General features: G+C 46.4%; 1 protein-coding gene and 1 long non-coding RNA gene across 4 annotated transcripts in view, besides 2 other annotated features; one reads left to right on the top strand and one right to left on the bottom strand.

The window, feature by feature from the left end:
- NSG2 (neuronal vesicle trafficking associated 2) overlaps window positions 1-26775 on the bottom strand; it is a 63474-nt gene that overhangs the window by 6144 nt on the left and 30555 nt on the right. The gene's annotated exons all lie outside the window — the stretch shown is intronic.
- Window positions 11163-11662: an enhancer, noted in NCBI's record as "H3K4me1 hESC enhancer chr5:173518377-173518876 (GRCh37/hg19 assembly coordinates)". NCBI's record gives its function as "activates a minimal SCP1, AML or CMV promoter by ChIP-STARR-seq in primed H9 embryonic stem cells {active_cell/tissue: H9 hESC(primed)}" and the evidence as "EXISTENCE:reporter gene assay evidence [ECO:0000049][PMID:30033119]".
- Window positions 11663-12164: an enhancer, noted in NCBI's record as "H3K4me1 hESC enhancer chr5:173517875-173518376 (GRCh37/hg19 assembly coordinates)". NCBI's record gives its function as "activates a minimal SCP1, AML or CMV promoter by ChIP-STARR-seq in primed H9 embryonic stem cells {active_cell/tissue: H9 hESC(primed)}" and the evidence as "EXISTENCE:reporter gene assay evidence [ECO:0000049][PMID:30033119]".
- Window positions 16556-20761, top strand: LOC102724551 (uncharacterized). Of its 3 annotated transcripts, NR_188239.1 has the most exons (3): window positions 16556-16638; window positions 18746-18937; window positions 20409-20761. It is a non-coding gene; the product is annotated as an uncharacterized LOC102724551 (long non-coding RNA). The 3 variants fall into 3 exon arrangements; NR_188240.1 differs by lacking the exon at window positions 18746-18937; NR_188241.1 differs by lacking the exon at window positions 16556-16638 and having other exon boundaries at window positions 18486-19864.

Here is a 26775-nt window from a genome sequence, read left to right as displayed (position 1 = left end):
AGGAAGATCACTTGAGGTCAGGAGTTCGTGACCAGCCTGCCCAATATGGTGAAAGCCCATCTCTACTAAAAATACAAAAAAAAAAAAAAAAAAAGCCAGGGTGGTGGCAGGCACCTGTGATCCCAGCTACTGGGGAGGCTGAGGCAGGAGAATTGCTTGAACCTGGGAGGAGGAGGCTGCAGTGAGCCGAGCTTGTGCCACAGCACTCCAGGCTGGGTGACAGAGTGAGACTCCATCTAAATAAATAAATAAATAAATAAATAAATAAATAAATAAATAAAAAAAACAAAGCATGGCCCTTTTCTGCTCGAAAGCCTGCAGTGGTCTCCAGCTTAAATATAACCCAGTTCCTATCCACTATCTGAAAGCAACCTTTAAAAAAAATAATACAACACCAAACAAAGTGGGGGCACCATCAGGATTCATCTGAAACCAGTAATTGGTTAACTTCAGAGGCACCTCTAGGCTTGCACTGACCCCATCCCACCATCTATGTACAAGGGGGCAGGGAAGTCCCCATGATACCGGGGCATCTAATATTACAAGCAGAATTTGTGTGTGTGTTATTTTTTAAAGCTGGTGTCCCTTTCAGTCAGTTGGCCTAGAAATATGGCAGGATTCTTCTCATGGAGGAAAGGTTCCTTTTGATTCAGAAAAAGAGTAAAATTAACTTTGGGAGTGCCCATGCCATCTCTTTCCCACCCCAGGGCATGTTTATAAGGAAAGGAGGAGACAGGAGTTTACATTGCTCCAAAAATATGGAGTTGTCTGTTGGCAGTTTTAAATACTGGACGGGAGGAATTTGAAAAGGAAAAGAGGAAGATGGATGTCGGGAGGATTCTGTCCAAATCTCATGGGCAGACACCGTCCATGAGCAATTCCTAATGAGTGTGTATATGAAGTTTTAGGACAGTACTGTGTAACATTCAATTTTAAGCTACTGTTGACACCATGTGCTGTCCATTCTCTCCATTACCCCAAGCCAGAAGTTGAAGCCTGTTGCATGCTTATCAGCCTCCTGCCCTGGATTGGAGTGATAACAGTATGGGATGAGATGGTGCAGAGATCAGTCCGGTATCACACAGGCAAGAGGTGGAGCTGAGGTGGAGAAATCAAGAGAAGTTGGACTTAAAGCAAGAGATACCATGAAGACACATATGCACCCTAGGAAACTCCTATTTGAATAGTACAGGAAAGGAGGCCACCCAAGACCACGACTCACAAATGCTGAGGACCTAGGAACACATGATCAACATGTGTTTGGAGTAGAGATATAAAAAAATTTTAAATGCTCAGATTTCCCAATAGCCAAAAGGTAGAAACAGCCCAAATTTCCATCTGCTGATGAATGAATAAACAAATTGTGGTCTATCCATGCAGCGGAATGTTATTCAGCCATGAAAGGGAATGAAGGACCAGCTGCAGATGCAGACGGCCCTTCAAACGTGATGCTGAGCCAAAGAACCCAGACGCCAATGGCCACATGTCATGTGATTCCATCTGATGAGACTCCCAGAATGAGGAAATGCACAGAGGCAGGTGCAGACTGGAGCCCGCTAGGACTAGGGGGTCTGGGGGAATGGGGAATGACTGATAAGGGGTATAGGGTTTCCTTTTGGTGTGATGAAAACATTTTGAAACTAGACAGAGGTGATGGTTGCACAACATTATGGATGCACTAAATGCCACTGCACTGCTCACTTTAAAGTCATTATGTTTATGTTACACGAGTTTTCTCTTAGTTTTTAAAAATAAATGCCCAGAGTTCAGGCAGCATCCTGGCACCTGCAGCTCTGCCCTAGGGACAGGGAGCCAATTTCCTAAGTGGTGACCCTTTCTGTTAAAGGGATATTAAAATCCTGCTGGCATCCCCTCCCCTCAAAGAGAACACACCTGGGCCCAGCCAAGAGAGTTGCCTATAGTCGCAGGCTCATCCACAGACTACAGTGCAGCTGTCGAGCTCGTGCATGCTCAGGAGGGAGTTCAGAGCCTCAGCCCCAGCCTGCCATTGCCTCCAGCCTGATGCAGGGTCTGAGGGAGCTGCTGGAAAGCTTCCCATCCCAATGACCATGTGCAACCCCAAACCTTGCCTAGGCAGAGTCCCAGGCCTCTTGAGAGACTCAGGAGCTGGGCAAGACCTCCCAACATGGGTATGGACGTGCCCAGACAGGGCTGGATAAGGCCCCTGGCCAACAGCAGGTTAGTAAAGGGGCACTAGGAGCTGGTGCAGGACCCAGCAAGCCTGCCTGTGGGACAGGTTCCCTTTACAGGGTGAGCTCTTCCACTGCTAACGTCCCCTGAGTTAAGAAATCCCAAATAGGAACTGCAGGGGCTGATTCACCAAAGCACCACCAGGGCTAGAGAGCACGAGCACAGAGCAGGCCTCCAGCAAATGCTTCTGGAAAAAGAAAAGGGAGGGAGGGAGGTACGTTGGAGGTAGTGGTTTCAAACCCTGCTTCACATTAGAAGCAGCTGAGGAGCTCGGAAATGCTGATGCCTAGGTTGTCACCACCCCCATGGATTCTAATTCCATGGGTCCAGGACAAGGCTGTCCAGGTAATTACCGTGTGTAACCAGGAAGAGAAGCGCTGCTCTAGTAGGACTAGCTGTGAGTGGTTCTCAAGCAGCTGCACATGTTAGAATCCCCTGGGATTCAAACGTTTCAAATGATCCTGGAGCTCTAGCCCTATCTCAAACCAACTACACCAGAATCTCTGGGGGTGCAGTCCAGGCCTCAGCATGTTTCGAAGCCCCCACGTGGTTCCCCACATGCAAGCAGTCCTGTGTGCTGACACTTGCTGGGGTGTCCTCCGTGACTGTCAGAGTCAAGGGTCTAATGCTGACTGGTTGCTACGGGTGCAGCCCAGCCCATGGGATTCTGCCCAAGCAGGGCTAACTTCTGCCAGGCCACCCCACATGCTCCATGACCCCAGAATTAGGCTCAATGGAGGCTGTCTTAGCTGAAGGAGAGTTTGCCTCCCTGTCCTGAATTTTGGTAACTTCTGCAACTGAAGGCCAATCATTCCCTAAGAGTCTGGGGAGGTCAGAGAGTACGTTGTGGTGAATCAGGCACAGGCTCTTTCTTGAGACCTCACAGTCTACAGGGGGAGGAAGAGATGGACTGATGGGTGTAGACACTTGCAACGCAGAGGTGACACCATGACTGAGGCCATCAGCACAGGGGGCTGCTGGACCTAATCAACCTGGGGGCGGGGGCATCAGGGACGTCCTCCTGGGGGATGTGACATCATAAGTGACTTCATGGAAGAACATTAGGATGAGGGGAAGAAGGCTCTGAGCAGAGGAAATGGCATCAGCCCTGGAAAGAACGTGGAGAGCACACAGGCTGTTCTAGAGGCATCACAGGCCTTGGCATGGCTGGCCCAAGGGGTGTGAGTGATGGGGAAGCCTGGGGGCCTGGGCAGGGGGCAAAGAACAGATTACACTTGGACTTGATCTCAAGGACAACAGGGAGCCAGTGACAGTTCTAAGCAGGGAAGCGACAAGGTGAGAATTATGTTTTGGAGTGATGTCTCTGGGGGCAACAGGAGGCATGTTTGCAGGGGGATGGCTGAAGGCAAGGGGGCCAGTGGGAAGGCTGATGTAGTAGGGCGTGTCCCAGGTGCTGAGGCCAGACGGGGCAGTGGGGTGGAGTCAATGGCCTAAGATGGCATAAGAGGTGAGCACAGCACTGCGAGACAAGAGGAGGAAGGGCCGGCTCAGGCCGGCGAGTTCCACTGGTGAGCTTTCTGGATTCTGGATGATGCAGTTGTCAATGGTTGCTGGGGTGGGGCGGGAGCTGGAGAGTCCTGGTTTGGTTCCAGGGCGAGATTTCCTACAGGCAGGTTTCAGTTCTGCGAGGCATCCTGCTGGACCCAGCCTCCCCGGCCTCCCTTTCTGGTGGATTTGTGAAATTCAGGGGCCTACGTGCCTGATCCCTGCAACAAAGCTCCCGCCATGCCGGGTGAGCCTAAGAGGGTCGGGGAGAGAAACTCCCACCTCCCCACAAAGCACCTCTGAACATGAAAGCCGGACTCCACATCAATATTTATTGACTCGGTTTATATAACCTCCATCCTCAGAGACGTTCTAAAGCCCTTGGTTTCACTTCTTGAATTTAACAACCTGAGCCTCGCGATAAACAGCTCGCTAGTTCTCCAGCGCTACATTGGAGGGTTTCATTACAGGCACAGTCCTCACCACGGAATCACCCTCTCTGCACCCGTCTCCCCTCATCCACTCACTCAGCCACTCATCGTCCGCTCACTGAGAGTCTACTAAAGGGCCTACTGTGAGCCGGATGCTGTGCACAGCCATTGCCTCAAGGAGTTCACAGGAGGGAGAGAGTGAGACATTCAATGAGCAATTCACCAAAGAAATAACCACAAACCAAGCACTGAATGTGGTCTGAACAGAGCACACGAGGGGGGCCCTTTGACGGGGTGGTCCTGGAAGCGAGAGGGGACTGGGCTCCAGGCAACCCCGGGCCAGAGCATTGCAGCATTCTAGGACGCCCAGAGATCCTACAAGGAAGAGGAGCTCGAGGTTCCAGAGGGCCTGGAAGAAGCAGTCTGGCTGTGACGAAGGGGACAAGGAGAGAACGCTGAGGTGAGGCTGGAAGGAAAGCAGGGTCCAGCCCCCTAGGGCTTTGGAGGCCAATATCACCCTTGTCCTGCCCAAGACAGTAGCTCCCCACAGAGGCAGCCCTGGTGCTGTCGGGGTAACATCTTTGCTCAGCCTGCACCCCCTCAACCACCCTCCAGTCTCATGTACCTCTCCCCACTGGTTCACACTGTCCCCTCCAGCCCCAGCACCCTGACAGCTCCTGCAGTTGCTTCTCTGGGCCTTGGGCCAGGCCTGGAGCCCCTGTGTGCCTTTCCTCAGCAAGGAGAACATCTCCTCAGCATTCAGCTCCAGCCCTGAACCCCTAATCCATCCCTGCTGTGTAGCTGGGGCCTGCTCCAGTTCCTCCTCCATAGGAGCACACTGCATCCCCATCACCCCTCTCGCCTACCAGCCACCTTCTGCTGGGAAGGCCTCGGGCAGCAAGCGAGTCGCACCCTTTTCTCTGTGCCCAGTAGTGACTCATACAAAGTGGGGATCAGAAACATTTCCTGACCTGCAGTGTTGAGTTGAATTAAGACCAGAGAGACAGACACACAGACACTCATACACACACACACACACACACAGACACACACAAAGAGACACACTCACACACACAGTTACACACACACACAGAGACACACACACTGAGAGAAAGGTACACACACAGAGACACAGACACACACACAGACACAGAGACACACACAGAGACAAACACACACAAAAAGACACACACAGTTACACAGACAGAGACACAGATATTCACACACACACTCACTGAGAGAGAAACACACACACAGAGACACACACAGAGAGAAACACAGACACACACACAGTTACACACACACAGACACACACACAGTTACACACACAGAGACATACAGACACACACATATAGTTACACACATACAGAGACACACACACTGAGAAAGACACACACACACAGACATACACACATACACACACACAGCCTCCCCCCAGACATCCACAAGCAGACAGACGGCAACCTGGCCCAAACCGTGCCGTGTGCAGGTGTAGTGGTGCACGGAAGCACCTGCATGTCTCCTCCTGTTCTCTTCCCTCTCCTCAACCCCGCCACCCCACACATGTGCCCAACAAAAGCACCTTAACCTTGAGGAGAATCAGGGTTTGGGCTGGCACCCATGAAGATGCACCCAAGATTCCTCTTCAGGCTTGTGAGATCCAAGACAGAAGAGAGGAAGAATTCAAAATAGAGCACAGAGTTGGCGACTCTGGCAAAGATGTGCCGGGACTACAGTCACAGCGACCGCTGCCCCACCACCCTCCCTCCATCTAATCACAGTGGCAGGAGTCGTAACAATAACAACAGATGCTAAGAGTTATTGGGAACGTAGTGCACACTATCGTCACAATCATACGAAGTAGAATTATTATCCCCATTTTGCTGATGGAGAAAGTGAGGCTCTGAGAGGTGAAGTGACTTCCCCAAGGTTCCCCAGTTGGTAAGAGGTAAGTCGAGAAAAGGCACCAAGTTATATCATGGGCATCTTGACCTCACCATGCCCCTGACCAGCCTCAGCCGTGGCAGGAGGCAGCGCTGCCCACCGCATCTGGGGCCTGACTCTGCAGCGACCCCTGCCTCCACTTTTCCCCCAGAGCCATGCCTAGGCAGACACCAGCTCTGGCAGCTTCTGCCTCTGACACAGCTTATTTATCTCCCCCTGCCCCCATATTCATCATAAGCCCCCTGGCCAGACCACCATCACCTCTCCCCTGGGTGCAGCAGCCTCACTGCTCCTGGGCCTCCAGCCTCTAGGCTTCCAGTCCGCCCTAGACTCTCCAACAAGCCAGCTTGGTCACACTGCCTCCCTGATGAACGAGCCACCACACCTACAGGATGAGGGCTCATCTCTTGTCTGCCAGAGCAGACAAGGCATTTTTGGATTTAACCTCCATTCCCTTTTCAGCCCCAACCCTGGCCCTCCAAGCTCCAGGTACCCCAGTTTTCCCCACCCCCATGATCTTGCAGCTGCTGGTCTCTGCCTAGAATGCCAGTTCCCACTCCTCAGCCTGTCAAGTCCCTGCTCACCCTAGACTCAGCTCAACTATCTCCTCCTCCCCAAAGTCTCCCCAGAAGTCCTCAGGCAATGTTGAGCCGCTACGCTGTCTGATCACAGCTCTTCAAGACACTTCTCCTAGGGCACTTTAATTAACCTCACCTGTCTGCCGCCCCTCTTGGGACACAGTGTGGGGTAATACTTCTCACTTCCATTTACTAGGCACTGATTGTGCCAGGCACTGTTCTTGGCACTGTACATGGATTTGCTCTTGCAAACCTTACAACAGCCCTATGAGGTAGGTGGTATTGTATCCTCATTTTTCAGATGAGAAGACTAAGGCACAGAAAGGTTGCATAATTTTCTCAAGGTCACACAGCTCATTAAGTAATCCAGCCAGGCATCTAGTTCTATGTAGTGTGGCCTGGGCTCTTAGCCTATGCTATCCTCCTCATAAAGCTTGGGCTGAGATATTTTATTCACTAATTATTAACTGAGCACCTACAGTGTGTCAGAGATAACTGCACACATTGGGCATAAAAAGAGGACAGGGGAATCCCTGCTTGCATAAAGTCTACCTTTAATCTTTTGAGTTTCCTTTTCTGTCAAAGGGGAATTGTAACAACATCTGTCTCTCGGAGTTCTGAGGGTTACGTGGGATAATGCATGTGGGACCTGAAAGTGGGTCGAGTGGTGGCCCCTGAAATACATGCCCACATCCAAATCTCCAGAACCTGTCAATGTGATCTTATTTAGAAAAGGGGCCTTTGCAGATGTAATTTAGTTAAGAATCTTGAGATGAAATCATCCTGGATTATGCAGGCAGGCCCTGAATTCAAGCAGTGCCCCTATTAGAGACACACGGAGGGAGACAGACCCACAGAAAGAAGAGAAGCCACATGAAAACGGGAGGCGGGATTTGAGTGATGCATCCACAAGCCTGGGAACACCTGCGCTCACCACAAGCCCAAAGAGGAAAGGAGAGATTCTTCCCTGGAGACTTCAGAGGAAATGTGGCCCTGCCAGCACCTCAGCAGTGGATGTCTGACACCCTGAACTGTGAGAGAACAAGTTTCTGTTGCATTCAGCCGCACAGTTTATGGTCATTTGTTTTGGCAGCTCCAGGAAATGAATACAGCGCCCTCCCACAGTGCCTGGTATACGTGCTACAAATGCGGACTCCTCTCTTCCCCCATATTGTCTGCCATGCTCCTCAGCATGCACTTCAAAAGCTCCAACCACTCAGGAAGACTGCCGTATGAACTGCTCTTGCATATCTTTTCAGCCACTCTCCCCTTGGTGAACTCCTAGTCATGCTTCAAAGCCCAACTCACCATGTCACCTCCTCTGAGAAGCCTTCCTTTGCCTAGTTTTGCTCTCATTACACTTTGTGCATCCATCTACCACTTAGCACTCAGCCCACTGGATCACAATTGTTCATTGCGTGTGTCATGTGGACAGGGACCAAATCTTATTCCCAACTTCCAACTCATGACCTGGCATGGGATAGGGGAGAGGCTAATTCATTCCCTAGCCCACACCTTATCCTCACTTTTGGTACAAAGCACTGGCTGCAGTGAGTTTTCAGGACCCGTCTTAACTGTTCTACAGCTTGGCAGAGTGACTGAAGGGAAGAACCCAGTTGGATGAAATCACTGCATATGGTCATCTGAAGTATAGTTTGTCTGATGCTGGAAGAATCCTTAGTTGACCCTGAAGTGGCCTCTTTGTCTGCCTGCTGTGCCCCTCAAAGATGAGAAGCTTCTCTCTCACAGCTGGGAGAGCTGGACCCTGCATTCTGGAAAGTATTTAGGCAGTTCTCTGAGGTAACTATGGCCACATCGTGACAGGAGTCAATCTCGCTTCTGCTTCTGATGAGCTGTGTGACCTTGGGTAAGATGCTTCATCTCTCTGAGCCCCTTTTTCTTCATCTGTTAAATGGGGACCAGAAAAATCAATCCCACCCCATAGGATTGCTGTGAAGATTAAATGAGATGGTGCCTATAAATTGCCTGGTATTACTGGCCCAGCCTATGGGCTTACCTGATAATAACAATCACTTATTGACTATTCAATAATGAGCAAGGCATTTGGCGAGTGATTTTTATGTGTGATCTCCTTTAAACCTCATGATAGCCCTGGAAGCTGAATTATTACCCCCATTTTATAGCTGTAGAAACTGAAGCACAGAGAGGTTTAGTAACTTGTCTGAGGCCACATGGTTCCTGAAGGAGTACAGCCTGCTTAGAACTCTAGAGTATCTCATTCTAAAGCCCTCAACCCTAACCATACCTTAATTGGCGTTGTGATACATATTTTCCTGTCCTGCAGCTACATTTGCTTGTAATAGTGCAACGAAGCAAGATACCATGCACGATGCATACTGTAAACTTATTCTAGGAAGATATGTCACCACCCAGGTAGAAACCTCAGGAATTAGGAAGACAGTGGAGAAAACCAAAAACCCTTCCACTGTCAAGCCAGGATGCTGATCTAGGACCCTCATCATGTCAGGAAACATGAACTTCATTAACACTCAGGTACTGCCACATCTTAGCACCACAGTGCACCATAAACCAGTCTTTTTTATGAAGAATGCAAACCCTGGAAACTTCAAAGCAATAGAACCACTCACATCAGGGAAATTAAACTTTGTGGGGAAATAAAAACAGGGCGGCCAAACAGACATTTGCCTTCTGTATGTGGCAGCTGGAACCTCCAGAGACAGAATTAGGCCTCCCGGCACCTTGTTCCTGGCTGAGCCCCAAAGATCCTGACAATAGGGCTTGAGCAGAAAGTTCAAAGGGGTTGCAACCTCTGTAAATTCTGCCCAGATGACACCTGGGTTCTTTTTAGCCCTTCCCCTAGTACCAAGTAGTGAATGAAGCAGAGCCTTCGAAGCCAGAAGGTCTAGACTGAAAGCACAGCTCGCCACCTGCTCACCAATGAACCTGGGAAAGTTGCTTACCCTTTGGAATCCTCAGCTTACTTCTCTGAAAGGTAGGTGACACTGATGGCTGCTTCACAATAGCTGTTGGATGGCGGGGCGTGGTAGTGCATAAAAGCCCTCAGGATAGGCCTAGCCTATCCTAGTAGATGCTCAGCCTTTCCCGGGAATGCCTTTAGTTAATTAGCATACATGGAATGCTTACATACATTTCAATACTTCATGGCCCTGCAACTCCATGAAGTAGGTGCTATCAGTGTGCCCATTGTACAATGTTGTATCAGAGATAGATGGAAAGACCTTACATATGTGAGGGGCAGGGTGAGGATTATAACTCAGACCTGTCTCACTCAGAAGCCCAGCTGGTTAACCATATGTTAGACTGCCTATAAACCTACAATAACATTACAGTTCATTTTTATTAAAAATATATTGCACCATTATTATAAGAACAATATTGAAAATCCAAAAGGAAAAACACTTATTACAATCCTGCCATCAATCCCCCATATGTTTTTACAGGCTTGCTTCTTGTTCCCATCTACATGGATCCCAGCTTAAATCTTGATTCCTTCTGTTCCATCCCATTTTACACACTGTGGCCCCTCCAACTTTGTATAGTCACATAGAGCATCCTCACGTGCCGAGTCTGGGCCACCTCAGAATCAAGACAAGCCTTGACCCCACCACCTACACAATGGCTCTAAATCAGTGCGCTAATGTACGAAAAACTATCATGAGGTACAAGCAAGATGATTAATGCAAAAGGAAAGAGAGTCATGTAAATGCTAAAGTGACAAATTAATGCTTCTTGTTGTCATTGTTGTTATTTTTGTAATTATGCAGGATTTATGAATTTGGTTCGACTATCGCCTCAGCACGAAGCCACTGGGTATTACTCTGTGTTGCCTGGGTATTACACTGTATTACATCTGTGATCCGTCCTCCCCAACCAACTGACAGCCCCTCAAGGGCAGGGCCATACCCTCTGTGTTTGACCTTCCCCAGGGCCCAAGGGCCCCACCCTTTAAGGGTTTTGCTGATGATTCATATTAATGGGGCAGAAAAGCACCTTTGACAGGGATCATTTCCTCTCTGACCCCTCCTGCATCCCCGACCCTAACTATTCTCCCTATTGGCCACCAAAGCTATCTTCTTAAATTACTCTTCTGAACATTGCATGGTGGGGCTGAAAGCCCTCCCCCTGACTTCCCATCTCCTGGCACAGCAGGTCTATGACTTGACTAAGCATCAGAACCATCTAAAGAGAATGGTAAGATGCAGAGTCCTGAGTACACATAGATTCTGATCCCCCTGTTCTATGATAACACCCAGAAATCAGCATTTTCCACACAAATCCAGGAGGTTTGAATGCAAGTAGCCTGGAGACTGTCATTGGAACAAGACAATGTTCAAAATCCTTTGTCTGGCTTCTGAATAAAGGAGGGCAAGAAACTCACATCCTTAAATCATCAGCTACTCAGCACTTGACAAGTATCATCTCACTAAGTCCTACCCAGGATTCCATAAAGTGAGGACTGTTGATATTCCTGGTTTTCAGATGGCAAAACTGAGGCTTGCAGATGTTGGGTAAATTGTGGATTAAATAATGGATTATCCAGCCAATTAGTAGTAAAGCAAGACCTAGAAGCCAGGTTTGCCTGGATCCAAAACACGTATTATTTCCTTGGCACTGTGCTATTTCCATCATCTGGTCCCTGCTTACCTGTCCCACTTCACTAATTGTTCCTGCCCCAGACACACACACACACACACACACACACACACACACACACACACCAGTCCTAGTTCCTGAAAGTTCTAGGCTGTCTGCTACTGGCATGCCTCCCACGGCCTCCCACTTAGAGGGTGCTCCACACACACACCAGGAAGCCTTCCCAGACTTCCCCTTTGAGCAAGCCCCCCATCCCCCCAGGCTCCCAAGGCCATCAGTTCCAGCTGCAGCCACACATCACATGTGCTATCACAGCCACGTAACACATCAGCCTGCCCTAGCAGTCCATGAGCTCCTCAAGAGTAGGGCCTGTGCCTCGGTGGCCGCCTGCCCAGCTCTTGGCCTGGGCCTGCACAAAGGGCACACAGGTGAACTCGGAAGAAGAACTCACATCTAGTTGCTCCATCCAACCCCAAGAGACAGGCCCCATAGCAGGGCCAGACTATCCCCCTCAGCCCAGAGGGCCATCCGTGCAGATCTCGGCTCCAGTCAGAGGCGCACAACTGTCTCACTGCATCCCCGCCAACCGTCTGTCTAGACACAGCCTGCATTACCATCTCCATGGAGACATGAGCCCGGCAGCCCAAATAGCTTGTTCCATTAAGCTACTTCCATTCCTTAATCCCCTTTCTTGGCAGAAAAGTTGATGGAAAAAAAAAAAAAAAAAAAAGGAAGAAGAAGGGGAAGGAAGAAGAAAAGAAAGAATCAGATCAGCAAAGTTGGTTTGGAAAATTAAATATCATTCCCAAATTTCAATGTGTGGCACTGCTAGGCATTCCAGTGGGGGTTCCCCTGCCAGATAAACTACTCCATGTCTCCCTGTAATTCTTGCAAGGATAAGAATAATTCTGCTAATACCACAGTCTAGCACACCCAGCAGTATCTCCTCTGGACATAAGTCAGCCATGTTGGGGAAGACGGCATTTCTGCCCCCGTGCTCAATTTGCTACCTTGTCCATGAGGAGGAAGGAATCTCTACCCTGTCTTCTACCTCCCCACCCCACTGCCCTGAACAAATACACACAGACACACCTTACCTGGGAGGAGTCTTGGAGGGCGTTTTCACACAAAACAGTTCACACAGCCAGCCTGAGATTGGTACCCCTGGAAAGGTCTGCATGCAAGACTGGCCCCTTGGCTGGTGTCTGGGAAGCTGGATTTTAAGAATGTTCCCACCATCCCCAGAACTGATAGGAGTGGCTCACCCTGCCTAACTTGTACTTACAATATGGCTTATGTTGAACACCTGGAGTCTGAAACTTGGGTGGGTGCTAAGCAAACAGTGCCTATGTGACCAGCCCCCAGTGAAAACCCTGGAGACAGTCTCTAACAAGCTTCCCTGGCGGACGTTGCCCACGCGCCTCTGAAACTGCTGCGGGAATGAAGCGCATCCTCCATGACTCCACTGGGAGACGATTCTTGGAAGGTTGTGCCTGGTTTCCCCTCGACGTTGCCTCATGCTCTTTTTTTCTTTTCTTTTGCTGATTTTGCTGCGTATCCCTTTGCTGTAAGAGATCACAGCCATGCATACAGCCATATGCTGAGTGCTGTGAGTCCTCCTGGTGAATTATTGAACCTGGGGATGGTCTTGGGGACCGTCAACACAGCTGCCCCTGTGCCCAATGTGAAGGCAGGAGAAGGCATTCCATATCTTATTTTTCAGAGTCAAACTTGTAACGAGCTATGCTTTACTGGGGACCCTGTGCCTTAAAAGGCAGGCACCAGGTTCCAGCCCTTTGCCTTTCTCTTCCTGCCTCCCAGAGCCCAGGCCCCACTAACATCTCATCCTGGCTGGGTGTGGTGGCTCATGCCTATAATCCCAGCACTTTGGGAGGTCGAGGCAGGAGTATTACTTGAGGCCAGGAGTTCAAGACCAGCCTGGGCAACATAGCAAAATCCCATCTCTACAAAAAAGAAAAAAGTAAAAACTAGCCGGAGGTGGTAGTGTACACCTGTAGTCCCAGCTACTCAGGAGGCTGAGCTGGGAGGATCACTTGAGCCCAGGGAGTTTGAGGCTACAGTGAGTCGTGCACCCCAGCCTGGGCAACAAATCAAGCAAGAACTGTCTCAAACATGCAAACAACAAAATCCCCACAAACTCTTCCTTTCCTTCTTTCCTCGTGGGTCAGGATGAGGGTAGGGATCTTATTCTTCCTGCACGGAGAAGCCTGGGGTATCTTTTTTGGGCCAGGCTCCTCTGTGCAGGAAGAGTAAGACGCTCTTCCTCTCCTTCCCTGTGGCATCCTGACTTCAGCTATCTTTCAGTGAGCCTGACACTAGACATGGAAAAAAAAATACACCCTCTCCTACCTTCCACCTCATGGGTTTCCCTCTGGTGGCGGCGTACACTTTGGACTGCCTCCTTGCACTGCAGGATGAGATCCCTCTTTGGGGCGAAGGTGGGCACAACAGGACAGGAATCTGTAAATTCATTGAGGACCCCACCCTGAGCCTCAACCCCAGCTTTGCTTACTGGAGGTGCTGCCCCTCGGAGTTAGGGATGCTTGCCAGGTGAATACAGCAGTTCTTTGCCATTTGGGGCTAGTCCTTATAGACAGACCTCCTTGTCAGTGAGCCTTAGAAGGCAAGAGTGGTGGGATTCCAGAACCCAAAGCCCCTTTCTGATCCCTGTCAGTATCGGTATGCAGATGGGGGTCATGGCTGATTCCACATCCACTCAGCCCCTTCAAGGGGCTTACCAATTTCACCTTTAAATAATACCTAGAAGCCAAGTCTGCCCTCAAAGCCCACATGTTCCCAGGCCAGGAAGTATGTTTCACTGTGACTTCACCTTTGCATCCATCTGTTCTGTCCTGATAAAGAGAAAAACCAGGTCTTGACCTCAGCTTTGTCCTGAAGCCAGAAACACCCTTGCTGAGATTCCCACCCATCACTTTCTGGGTCTCTTATTACATTTCCTGGGCTCAGCTGTCTTATCTGGAAACGAGAATCCTAATAGCCACCTTGAAGCACGGATGTAAGGAGGAAATGAAATCATTGTGTGGAAATGCCAAGCCCAGCGCCTGGCATAGAGCAGGTGCCCAGAGACCAAGGATCTGGGAGAAGGAACATGCCTTAGGATCTAAAGTCTTGTTCCTCTCCCTGTCCCATAGTTCCCATGTTTCAAATGAGTTTTTTTCATGCCAAACAGACTGCATTTATTCAATACGAATGAATTCATTCTCCTGTTTTGGATTTATCAGACTCATGCACATATCTGAGAATAGGAGATAACCAGGGTGATCATGATGTTTCTGTTGGTCTATTTGGCCTAATCAGAAGAAAAGGAATCGTTTCCTTGGGGTGTTGTGAAATACTGGAATGAGGCTGAAGACAGCCTTCATTACTGGCCAGAGCTGGTCTGGAGCCAGTATAGCCTCTGGGGACAGACGGACTCTCCGCCTGCAGCTTCTCCCACTATTACCACCTGTGCGACTTTGAACAACTTTTGTGATATCTCTAAGCCTCAGTTTCTTCATTCATAAAACAGGAACTAGAATGTTCTCTCACACCCCAAAACGCCGAAAGGTGGAATGAGATTATGGAGCTCACCTGTCTGGCTTCGGTCTGAAACAGTATGTGTTCAGTAAATGGCATCTAAGTCAATATATCAGAAGAATTCCTGTAAAGATCCTCTCTTGGATAGAAATGACAACCCTAAAATGGCAAGACAGGTATGGGAGGTAACATCTGTGGAGGGCCTGTTTACTGCCCATTGTTCTGTCTAATCCCTCAATTAGACAGAATTAGAGACCTCAATTCTCTAGGGTCAATCCCTAGAGAAGGAGTTGGCTTTGTCTGTGGGCTGTGCTCTCATATCCAAGATGATTTCACTGGAAAGGCTTAAGATGCATATTAGAATTTATAAAACATGATGTAGTTATTTTAACTTCATTTCTTGTTAACAATTTTTTTTTTTTTTGACACAGGGTCTCCCTCTGTTACCCAGTCTGGAGTGCAGTGGTGCGATCTTGGCTCACTGCAGCCTCAGCCTCCCAGGCACAAGCGATCCTCCCACCTCAGCCTCCTGCAAGTAGGAGGACTTGCAGGGGTGCACCACTATGCCCAGCTATTTTTTTTTTATTATTTTTTTGTAGAGATGGAGTCTCACTGTGTTTCCCAGGCTGGTCTCAAACTCTTGGCTTCAAGTAACCCTCCTACCTCAGCCTCCCAAAGTGCTGGGATTACAAGCATGAGCCACAATGCTCAGCCTCATTTCTTGCTAATAATTTTTAAAACCAACTCTATAAGGTAGAGCCTGTCATTTTTCCTGTTTTATACATGAAGAAAATGAAACACGGAGTAGTTAAGTCACCTGCCTATAAGGAAACTCAATTAATGAATGGAGTAGCCAGGATTTGAATTCAGGTGTGACCATAAAGGCCATGTGCACCTTCTACTCACTCCACAGCCTCTGGAGTGGCTGTATGATTGTTGCAGCATGGAATACACCGGTTCTCTCCATCCGCAAACCAAAAAGATTGCATTATCATAATGTTTGGTCAGCTCCCCATGGAAGCCCCCCAAAACCCATTAAAGAAGCCCATTCTCTAGGGCCCCAATGAATCTCACTAAGTAAATTGCCTTTTGAAAGTAAAAGGAAAATGAAACATCTATGGCCTCAAACTTTATATGAGCAATAATTCAGGAATCTCTTTCAGAACCCAGAGAGGAAAGCTCCCCATGGGAAGAAGGAGGGGTGTAGAAGTGTGATTCCTGGGTGTAGAGCCAGAAACTCATTAATATTTGTGGAATCCTTGAAAGAGAAAAAGCACAGTTTGAACTGGAACATTCCAAAGCAGTAATTCATTTCCCAAATTAATGTGCTGTGGTATAATCGTTAGGAAGAAGAGCGAGGGTCCGAGGGCCCTGCCGATGTAGGAGATAAATCTCTGGGCTCCCGAAATGTTTTTCATTTTAAAAGTTCAAGTCATCACTCAACATGGGCCAGAGAATACTAAGACCTTTGACAGTGAACCTCTTACAGGATGGAGAAGCTGAGGCCTTAACTCACAAGGTTGTGCCTTTATAAGGCAACAAAGCAAAAGCAAGTGTGTCATAGATGGAAACCTGTTTACCTAGATCTCACCGACCTGTTGAGAGGAAAGGAGCCAACCTGGCCTGGTGACCTTCTCTGTGCAAGCAGGGAGCAGGCACACACCACCAATGAGTGAAGAAGGCTGCTGTGGCATGCTCGGGACCTAGAGGGAACCTGCCTCATTGACAGGGGACAGCAGCTGCACAGCTCCAGACAATCGTTGTCAAGGACGGGAATGAGATTCTAACATGGCTGATCTGATTTTTCAAGAAAGGTAGAGATCATGAAATTACATGAAGTTTCCCAGTTTTTAACTTGGGGATGGTGCTTTCATTACTTTCTTTTGTTACTTGCATTAAGCCTTTCAACAACCCTGTCTGGTTGGGCTTTTTATCCCTATTTTAGAGGAAATAAGTTTCCAGAAAGTGATTGGCCCGGGGTCAGTTAGCCAGCAATCACCCCAATCTGTTCAACAAGGCCCAGGGTGAGGCCAGGAGTGTGACTTGTCTGGGGCTGAGCCAGGAGCTGGCTTCCAGCTGGCACCATGGGCTCCTGTGGCCAGGTACTTGACAGGGCAGGGCAGGGGGTTAAACGGGTCTGAAACATGTGTCCACAAAAAATCTCCAAATATGTACAGGCCACCATCTACCACAAAGGAGGGATTTGAGAATGTAGAGGAGAAGGACCTAATATTCATTGAGCATCCCTGTAAGCCAGGAGCTGGGCTTTGCGTGCATTGCTTTAGTTTAAGTCCAAAATAACAACAACGGTTTGACGAAGATGTCATTAATCCCCATCTGACTGTGGCAAGGTGAAAGGACTTCCTAGCCTCGCACAGCCAGGTCAGGTGGAGTCTCTTCTTTCTGACATTTGCTCAATACACCTAGGCCTTCCTCTGGCCTGGGATGTGGAGCTTTCATCCGCAAACTTGTCAATCACTAGCGTTTGGGAAAAATGATCCAAACAAGAAAACCCTCACAAGTCTCACCAGGGTCATTTTGTACAAAGTGAAACTCGGGAAATTAAGATGTCATCGCACAGTCTTGCTGTTTCCACAGGCAATGATTGTAGCTACAAATTTGTCCCAAAATGCAGGCAAATGGGCTTGGAGCAGTGAGGTCATGAAGCTTATTTACTGCTGCCATGATGATAATTTTAATTTGCTATTAAGAAAATGAAGGGCTAGCAAGCGTTCAGGATACAGATGATATAGCAGTTTAGTTTTGGCTGTTCAGAGACTGGGATGCAGGAACCTGAAAGAGAACCAGTGTGAGGTGGGAAAAGGAGAATAGGCCTTACCATCAAACTAGGATTTAATCTCTGCTCCACAATTTCCTGGCTGTGTTACCTTCAGTACACGACGCCACCTCTCTGAGCCTCAGTCTCCTTATCTGCATCTCCTTATCTGAATCATAACACCTACCTACTAGGTACATTGGGTGGACTTCCAAAGATGCTGGATGTAAAGCTCCCATAAATGTTGGATATTATTACTGTCATTATTATTTAAATATACACTTATGGAGTCACCAACAGAGCCAACCATTTGACTTCCTGCCACTAAAATAGCCAGAGGCCTGGCTGCACTGCTTAATTTCATCAAGATGGTCTGGTGAGTCACAGCCTTAATTAACTTTCCCATGGTTTGATCAGAGCAGAAATCAGACTCTTGCATTTCACCCACTCTTCCTGGCTCCAAAAAAGATGGACGTGCACATCCTTATCCACCATTCTGACTGTACAAAGACAAGAAAATTATCCAGTAGACACAGGAGTGCACGCACAGCCAGCCTGCAAGGCCACAGAGACATCGCCACAGAGCATTAGAGCAAGAGCCTGGAACCTAATGAAATTATCTTCCCTCAGCCGATCTGCCTGCCGCAGCTGCAAATTGGGTCCCCTGTTTGTGTGCTTATTCAACTGTGACCCCGTAGCCCTGGCAGGATGAATGGGGCCTCACAACCGAGGGTGGGGCGTCAGCCCAGGGGTGTCTTCCTTTATGCAAAGCTCTTCTTTGAGGGGCTATGGACAAACCACATGGCTGGAGGTGAGCTTCAGATCTGGGCTGCTTCCTGGACACAGAAAATAAAGCAGGACAGGAGATGCAGAGAGCATGGAATGCTCTTCACTACAGGCTCCGTGGAAGGAACTCGCATCAGGCCAGCTGAGAAAGCCAGTTTGACATTCACCTGTGGCAGACCTGGGTTTTGACTGAACCGCTTGCTCCTTGAGGCCCGAGGCCCTGAGGACTCATCTCTATAGCCCCTGCATCTGGCCAGGACTTGGTTGCAGTAGGTGCTTGATAAACCTATGCTAAGTATAAAATGCCACCTAACTTGTTTCGCTCATCTTATCTTTATTACACTTTCCTCTTTTTCCAGAAATGACTTCTGGCAACTGACAGGCTCCACGTTGAGTGTTCACACTGTGCCCAATTCTGCCCTGAGCACTTTGCTTGGTTTCTCCACAACAATATTGTGATCAGTATAATTACTGTTATTCCCATTTTATAGATGAGAAAAATAGTAATGGAGGAAATGGAAGGAAAAAGGATGGCCATAAGTTGGAGGCAGGTATGTTAACAGTGTCCCTACTTGCAGCAGGCGGGCAAGACATATAGCTCAAGGTTTTCCAGAAACCTGACCAATGATAGGAAATGGGTCGGCGATAATATTCATAGAGTCCAGAAGATAAAAGCAAACTGATTGCTCAGAAGACACACAAATGGCCCCTATCTAACGCATGTGGCCTTGGACAAGTCACTTCTCTCTCATTCTCTATCTTCTGTACAAAGGGAGTGATTACAATAATGTCCCCATCACAGGGCACTTATGCAGGTCAAGGAAGTAGACAAATGCAGCAGTCACTGTGCCTAGAACCCAGAAGATGCTGTATCAATGTTCATTCTCCTGTCTTTCTTGCGGTCTTTTGTTCTCCCTCCATTTACTGAAGGCAGAGTCTTGGAGTGTGGGTGTTTAACTATAAAGTCATTGGCAACCAAGCAGCTGCCCAACCAGCTCATTATGACCTAAAAAGAAAAAAGGAGCTTTGCAAGGAAGCTTTGCAAGCACGCCAGCTCCTGAATTTCATGAGCAGTGGGCAGCTGAATGGTGAGTTCTCGCCTGAGCTTGGCTTGAAATGCACGTAAGAATGAAAGGGGCCTCCAGCACAGTCCACCTCTTGCCACTCTGTTATAGTGCTGTGCCCTGGGATATTCAGGAAAGTTACGCTGTTCCATCATCTCCTGCAGCCGAGAAACACAATTGATTTTCCTGGCCTCATTTCTGTTATAAAGAACAATTTCCCCCAGGGATCCCCAGAGAACTAAAATGGAGAAAATGTCATTCATATTTTACCATGCAAGCCAAAGCCTAATTGTTCACTGGACAATAGATACAAGCTGAATGCCTAGCCCTTCGCTGGCCCTGGGCCAGGCACATGGGAGTCAGGGATGACGTATACGTGGTGTCGGCTCTCAGGAAAGACTCATAGAAGGCAAGGTGAGAAGCGATGTGATGGAGATGGCACTGGGGAGTGGGGCTCCTGGGCCAGCCTGGAAGGAGAGAGTAAAAGGGGGATCCAGGTGGAGAGAACAGCCTGCCCCAGGGTGTGGACGTTGGAGTGGCCCATGACAGTGAAAGACAAGTCTTGGATGGTAAGCAGAGGAAGCCTGAGGAAGGAGCATAAGGTTCAGACTGAAGAGTTTACTGGGGGCACTAGAGAGCCAGTGGGTCTGTCATATCCGGCATTCATGGACATGGTTCCATTGGCGTTTTTAAAATCACTTTGGCAGCTTGGATGGAAATTGACTGGAAGGAGTGGATTTTGGAAGCAGGAAGACCAGTCAAGGGCTCTAAAAATAATCTAGACTTGAACAACTGTCCCATACCCCATAGTACTTCATAGCCCAGTACTCAGCTAGCTATTTTGGGAGATACCAAAACGAGGAGGTAAATGTAGATTTTCTGGGTGCCAACTGTGTTTTGATGCTTTACATATACTATCTAAGTATGACAAAGTAAGATCGGTGTCTCCATCTCACAGGTGAAAGACCCAAATTCATGGAAGAGAAGTGAGTCACACAGGGAGCCAGTGGCAGAGCCACACCCCACAGAGCAATCAACATGCTCTACTCTGCAGACCTGCAACAGGGAGGGAAGCCAGACTCTGATGCAAGAAGGAAAGACCATGTGCTGGCTCAGTGTGTGCAGCCTGGACTGAGCTACTGAACTCTAAATCCAAGGATGACTAATGTAAGCCTAAAGGGTAATCTGCAAATACTGCTCCATTAATATTCAATGATAAATGATATTGCTTTAGAATCAAATTCACATAAACAGAAGCTTCAGCTGTATGTCCGCACCCTGGGAACATTAAATTGTAAGCCACGTCTTGTACTTCCATGAATCATCCATACCATCTACCCCAAGGCTCCGGACATGGAAGCTACTGTGTAAACACTTATTGACTGAATGGGGCCACTCGAAAAAATTGCTGAAGGGAGTTACAATTAAGAGAATGGCAATGGGTGCATTTCTAAATGTAATCTTTCAAAGCTTCAGACAGGTGGTCGGGTACAAATGAAATTTATTTGTACGTTAATTCTTCACATATTTACTGAAAACTACCCACATCCTTCCAAATGCTAAGATGATTTTGTGGGTTAATTCTGTTTTTAAAAAATATATAAAGAAACAGATTATTTCTCTACTGTCAAATTTTCCAGGACATGGAGAAAGAAAAATGCATGTACATTCTCTCTCTTTTTTTTTTTTTTTTTTTTTGAGTCGGAGTCTCACTGCTGCTCAGGCTGGAGTGCAGTGGTGCCATCTTGGCTCACTGCAAGCTCTGCCTCCCGGGTTCATGCCATTCTCCTGCCTCAGCCTCCCAAGTAACTGGGACTACAGGTGCCCACCACCACATCTGGCTAATTTTTTGTATTTTTAGTAGAGATGGGGTTTCACCTTGTTAGCCAGGATGGTCTTGATCTCCTGACCTCATGATCTGCCTGCACATTCTTTTTAAAAAAATGCTCGTACATTCTTTTTACAGAGGCAGAATGACATTAATACCAGACCTGATGAAGACAGCACAAAAAGTAAATCTCAACACAACCTCACAATATTAATAAAGCAAAAATTTTAAATACAGTAATGTATTAGCAAACAGAACTCCATGGTACACCATGACCAAATGAGGACATGTAAGAATGGCTTAATATCTGAAAATATATTAGTATAATTTATCATAATGCCAAGTCAAAGAAGACAAACCATATCACCATGTCCGTAAATGCAGAAAGGGTATTTGGGGGGGAAAAAAACATCAAAATGTAAATGCTAAAACACTAGAAATAGCAAATCTGAAAGTACTGACCACTGCAATTAGACAGGAAAATGACATCAGGAGTCTAAAAATTGCAAACAGGAAATAACATAAGAAAACTAAATATCAGAAAAAGAGGAGCAATATTAGAATTACAGGCAGATGGAACAATTGTATATTCCTTATAAACATAAAGAATCAAAATTTTAAAGAAATTATTAGAAATAATAAGAGAAGTTGGTAACTGGAGGCAAATAAATATACAAAATTCAAAAGCATTTTTATTAAGTATAAATAATACCCAGTTAAAAAACAACAAAAGAAAAGATTCCTTGTACAATATCAACAACAAAAAAAAAACAGGTAAAATACTTTGGAATAAATTTAACAAGAACTGCAAAAATGATCTTACAGCTCAACTGAAAGTGATGAAAGTCTTCAACAGATGCAATCTTGCTTCTAGATAGAAAATCTCAATATTTTACGCCAGGCGTGGTGGCTCACATCTGTAATCCTAGCACTTTGGGAGACCAAGGCGGGCGGATCACCTGAGATCAGGAATTTAAGACCAGCCTGGCCAATATGGTAAAACCCCATCTTTACTAAAAAATACAAAAATTAGCCAGGTGTAGTGGCACGTGCCTGTAATCCCAGCTACTCAGGAGGCTGAGGCACAACCATCACTTGAACCCGGGAGGTGGAGGTTGCAGTGAGCCAAGATCACACCACTGTACCCCAGCCTGGACGACAGAACAGACTCTGTCAAGAAAGAAAAGAAAGAAAAGAAAGAAAAGAAAGAGAGAGAGAGAGAGAGAGAGAGAAAGAAAGAAAGAGGGAAAGAAAGAAAGAGGGAAAGAAAGAAAGAGGGAAAGAAAGAAAATCTCAATATTTTAAAGACGTAGCATCTCCTCAAATTGAAATCTATAAATTTATGTAATCCAAGTAAACAGTAACAGTAGTAAAATATCCACATACATATGGTTATATATAATAAGGTTAATTTATATATAGGGTTATATATAACATTTTATATATATATAACATATATAAATATATATATTTACCTGCAAAAGTGAAATGCAAGAATGGGTAAGGAGTGAAAGGAATGAGAGAAGAATAATTTACACAGATATAAAGATGTGTAACAAAGCTGTAACTGAAAGAATTTGGTATACAATAACAAAAAACAGTCAGTTCAATAGAAGAAAAGAGAGAACAGAAGTAGACTGAAACCCATATGGAAATGCAGTAGCTTTTTTAAAGGTTGTATGTCAAGTCAGAGAGGGAAAAGATTAATAAATGATCTTAGAACACCTGACAAACTGCCATTCAAAAACAAATAAACTTGGATTCCCAGCTTGCTCTTCACACAGAGACAAATTCCAAATGAATCAAAATTGTAACATATAAAACACAATCATAAAAGCACCAGAAGAAAACATAAATTTAGGGTGGGAGATGGCCTTAATTTTTAAAGTCAAATGTATCAATATTTTCCCTCATGCCTTGTGGAGTCCATGATTAATTTGAGTTAAAGCAAAAGTTAGAAATATTGTAGAATGAAAAAAGCAGTTACACCATAAACAAAACCAAAAGGCAAAGGACGACTGAGGAAATAACAAACAAGGGAGAAAAACTAAGTCTGTAGCTTTGGGAGGTAGCAACACAAATCAGGAGGAAGGAACAAATGGTCCAGCCAGATAAGAATTTTTCCAGAAAAGAACCAATGATCAAACAGGCAATAAGAACCCAAAAAGAAGCTCAAACTCACTGATAATGAAAGATGTGCATGGCCAGGCATGGTGGCTCACGCCTGTAATCCCAGCACTTTGGGAGGTTGAGGCAGGCTGATCACAAGGTCAGGAGTTCGAGACCAGCCTGGCCAACATGGTGAAACCCCGTCTCTACTAAAAATACAAAAATTAGCTAGGTGGGGTGGCAGGCGTCTGCATTCCCAGCTACTCAGGAAGCTGAGGCAGGAGAATCGCTTGAGCCCGGGAGGCAGAGGTTGCAGTGAGCTGAGATTGCACCACTGTACTCCAGCCTGGGCGACAGAGCAAGACTCCATCTAAAAAAAAAAAAAGAGAGAGAGAGAGAGAAAGAGAGAGAAAGACATGCAGACTTCAAGAGGAAGGGCCATTTCCTACCTATCAGATGGGTAGGACTTAGAGTTGGTTAAAACCTGGTGCCAGCACACGGGGAGGAGCAGCTCACGCTTAGGCACTGTTGGGGGAGTATAGACTGGTGGAACATATTTGGAAGGTAATTTGGCAAAATTTATTAATTAAAAGGGAAGGTGTATATACCCTCTGGCAAGGTTTTTAAGATTGAAGACTCTCATGCCCTCCACTTACACTTGCAGAACATATGAAAGGGGTGTGCGTGTGCATGTGTGTGTGTGCGTGTGTCTTAGTCCATTTGGGCTGTTATAAGAAAATACCATAGACTGGATAGCTTAGAAACAACAGACATTTATTTCTCACAGTTCTGAAAGTTGAGAGACCTAAGATGAAGGCACCAGGAGATTTGGTATCTGGGATGGGCCCACTTTCTGGTTCATAGATGGTGCCTTCTATCTGTGTCCTCACATGGTGGAAGGGTAGATCAAGCTTCTTGGGGCCTCTGTTATAAAGACACTAAGCCCATTCATGAGAGCTCCACCCCCGTGACCTAATCACTTCCCAAAGGCCCCACCTCCTAATAACTAATATGAACTTGGGGGTTAGCATTTCAACATCGGAATTTGTGGGAAAACACAAACATTCAAACTGTAGTAGTGCATGTAGTTCACTGGAAGGAGGTTCACTGCAGCTTGATTTCAGCAGCAGAAGGCTGAAAGCTAGAACAATCGTGGACTAATTGAGAAAGATGATGAAACATCCTCTGTCTACAACCATTAACAGGAAGAAAAAGGATCTCAATGTGCTGATGTGGAAAGATCTCTGAGATATATTATTAAGAGAAAGAAGCAAGGTACAAGAGAATGTGTATACAATGGTTACATTTGAAAAGATGAATGAGGAAATCAAGTTTAAGTGTGTGTGTGTGTGTCTGTGTGTGTGTGTGTGTGGTGTGTGTGCGTGTACTGTACATATAAGACCTTTAGGAAATGTCCCTGGATGAGATCATAGGAACATAGGAAGCTGCTCCTGGACTAACAGAACTTTCTGCAATGATGGAAATGTTCTCTAAATTTGAGCTGTCCCATATGGTAGTCACTAGGCTCACATGGCTACTAAGTACTTGAAATGTGGCTAGTGTGATAGAAATTAAACTTTAAATTGTATTTTGTTTTGACCAATTTAAATGTATATAGCCACAGGTGGCTAGGGGCTTCCAATTTGGACAGCACAGATGTAGACAACAGATATTTTTTGTGAGAACTATGAAGGAGGGAAAGGGAGACTTTAATTTCTCAGTGAATGCCTTTCTGTACTGTTAGAATGTTGTGCATTTGTATGTTATTCTTATTTTAAAACAAAGGTTACTGACCACCTACTGTATTCAAGGCCCCAGAATGTATAGGCATACGGGGCTATAAAACTGAATCAGGGCAGTTTCTGTCCGCAAGAGCCCAGGCTTTCATAGCACCAGAAAAACGCAGGAAAGGAAATAACTGCATGAAGGAGGGAAAGATGACCAATTCTGCCCAGTGATTAAAGTCCCAGAAAGGAAATGGTCAGTCCTTTCTGAAAATGAGGAAGAGAGGTGCAGCTACTAGGAAAGGAGGTGATGTCCCAGCCAGTTTTATGAGATGAATAGGTGGCCACCAGACTGTGGGAAGAGAAAAGCATTCGGAGTAGAAAGAACAGCTAAGCGGAGGAGTAGAGATGAAATCGGGTCCAGTGTGTCGAGAATTCGACAGGTAATTTAGCTTGTTCGGAGGAGACTGAAGAGATGAGCAAGAGACAGGCTCGAGAGACCAAGTATATAGCAGGTGAAGGAGTTCAGATTTTACCCTAATGATCAAGAGAAGCCCCAGAATGGTTTGAAGCAGGGAAAGGAAGTGATTGCCTGTGAGTTTCAGAAGAGACACACTCTGACTGTGGCTTGACATGTCAAAACCGAAGAGAGGAGCTGGAAATGAGAAGGGCAGTTGAAATATCTGCAAGATTTATTTTTATCCTCCTTTATACAAAAAAAATAAAGCTATTTATAGACCTAAAATTGCATCAAGTACATTTTGCTTTGTGCACAAAACAATCATATTGGGTCTGTTTAGGGTTGTGCAGTATCGCACTTCCTGTGGCCATCTCATTTTTTTATTGAGCTTCCTACAACCTTGAGAAGTCTTTTTGTCTTTACCTTTTCTAATTTTTCTAAGGCTTCAAATCTCTGGGAGATTGCTAGGATAAGACACTGAAATACTGAACAAATCTGACTTATCCTTGGTGGCGTGACTATGGTTTGATTTCTGGTTTTAGACCCAGCGAACATGCTGGTAAATCCTAGAGCAAGGTTTCTCAGCATTTGGGGCTGGAAAATGCTTTGTTGTAAGGAGCTGTCCTATGTATCATAGGGTGTTTAGCTGCATCTCTGGCCTCTACCCACTAGAGACCAATAGCATCCCTACCCCCAGCTGTGACAACCAAAACTGTCTCCAGATATTGCCAAGTGTCCTCTGAGAAACAAAATCACCTCTGACTGAGAACGATTGTTCCAGGCCTCTTGGGGATGAACTCACCCAACTACCTCATTTTACAGATGGGAAAACTGAGGCCCAAAGATTGAGACCAGAAACCAGGTTTCTTGACTCAGTTTGGAGATTCTTTTAGAAATTAGAAATTTTTTTTTCTTAGCCTCAGAGAAATGCAATATAAAGTAAAGTTGGAGTTTTCATTCAAGTCAGTTTCATTAGCTAAATATTCATTTATATTTAGCTTTTTTTCTCTCTCTCTTCGTCTCTCTTTTTTTCCCTGTCTCATATCTTGTACATGATTCAGCCTGGAATTTCTGTTCAGTAGCCTGGTTTTCAAGCCACAAATGCTACCCAAATTAATGACAATACTTTTTTAAAGACTATGAAAACACCTACCCTCCCTACTTGTAGCATTTTCATTTTTCATTTGCTCCCAGTGAAAGAAGT

Source organism: Homo sapiens, chromosome 5, assembly GCF_000001405.40.
Source record: "Homo sapiens chromosome 5, GRCh38.p14 Primary Assembly".
Classification (NCBI taxonomy): Eukaryota; Metazoa; Chordata; class Mammalia; order Primates; family Hominidae; genus Homo; species Homo sapiens.
Note: the sequence above shows the minus strand (reverse complement) of the source record. Positions and strands in the feature narration are given on the sequence as shown.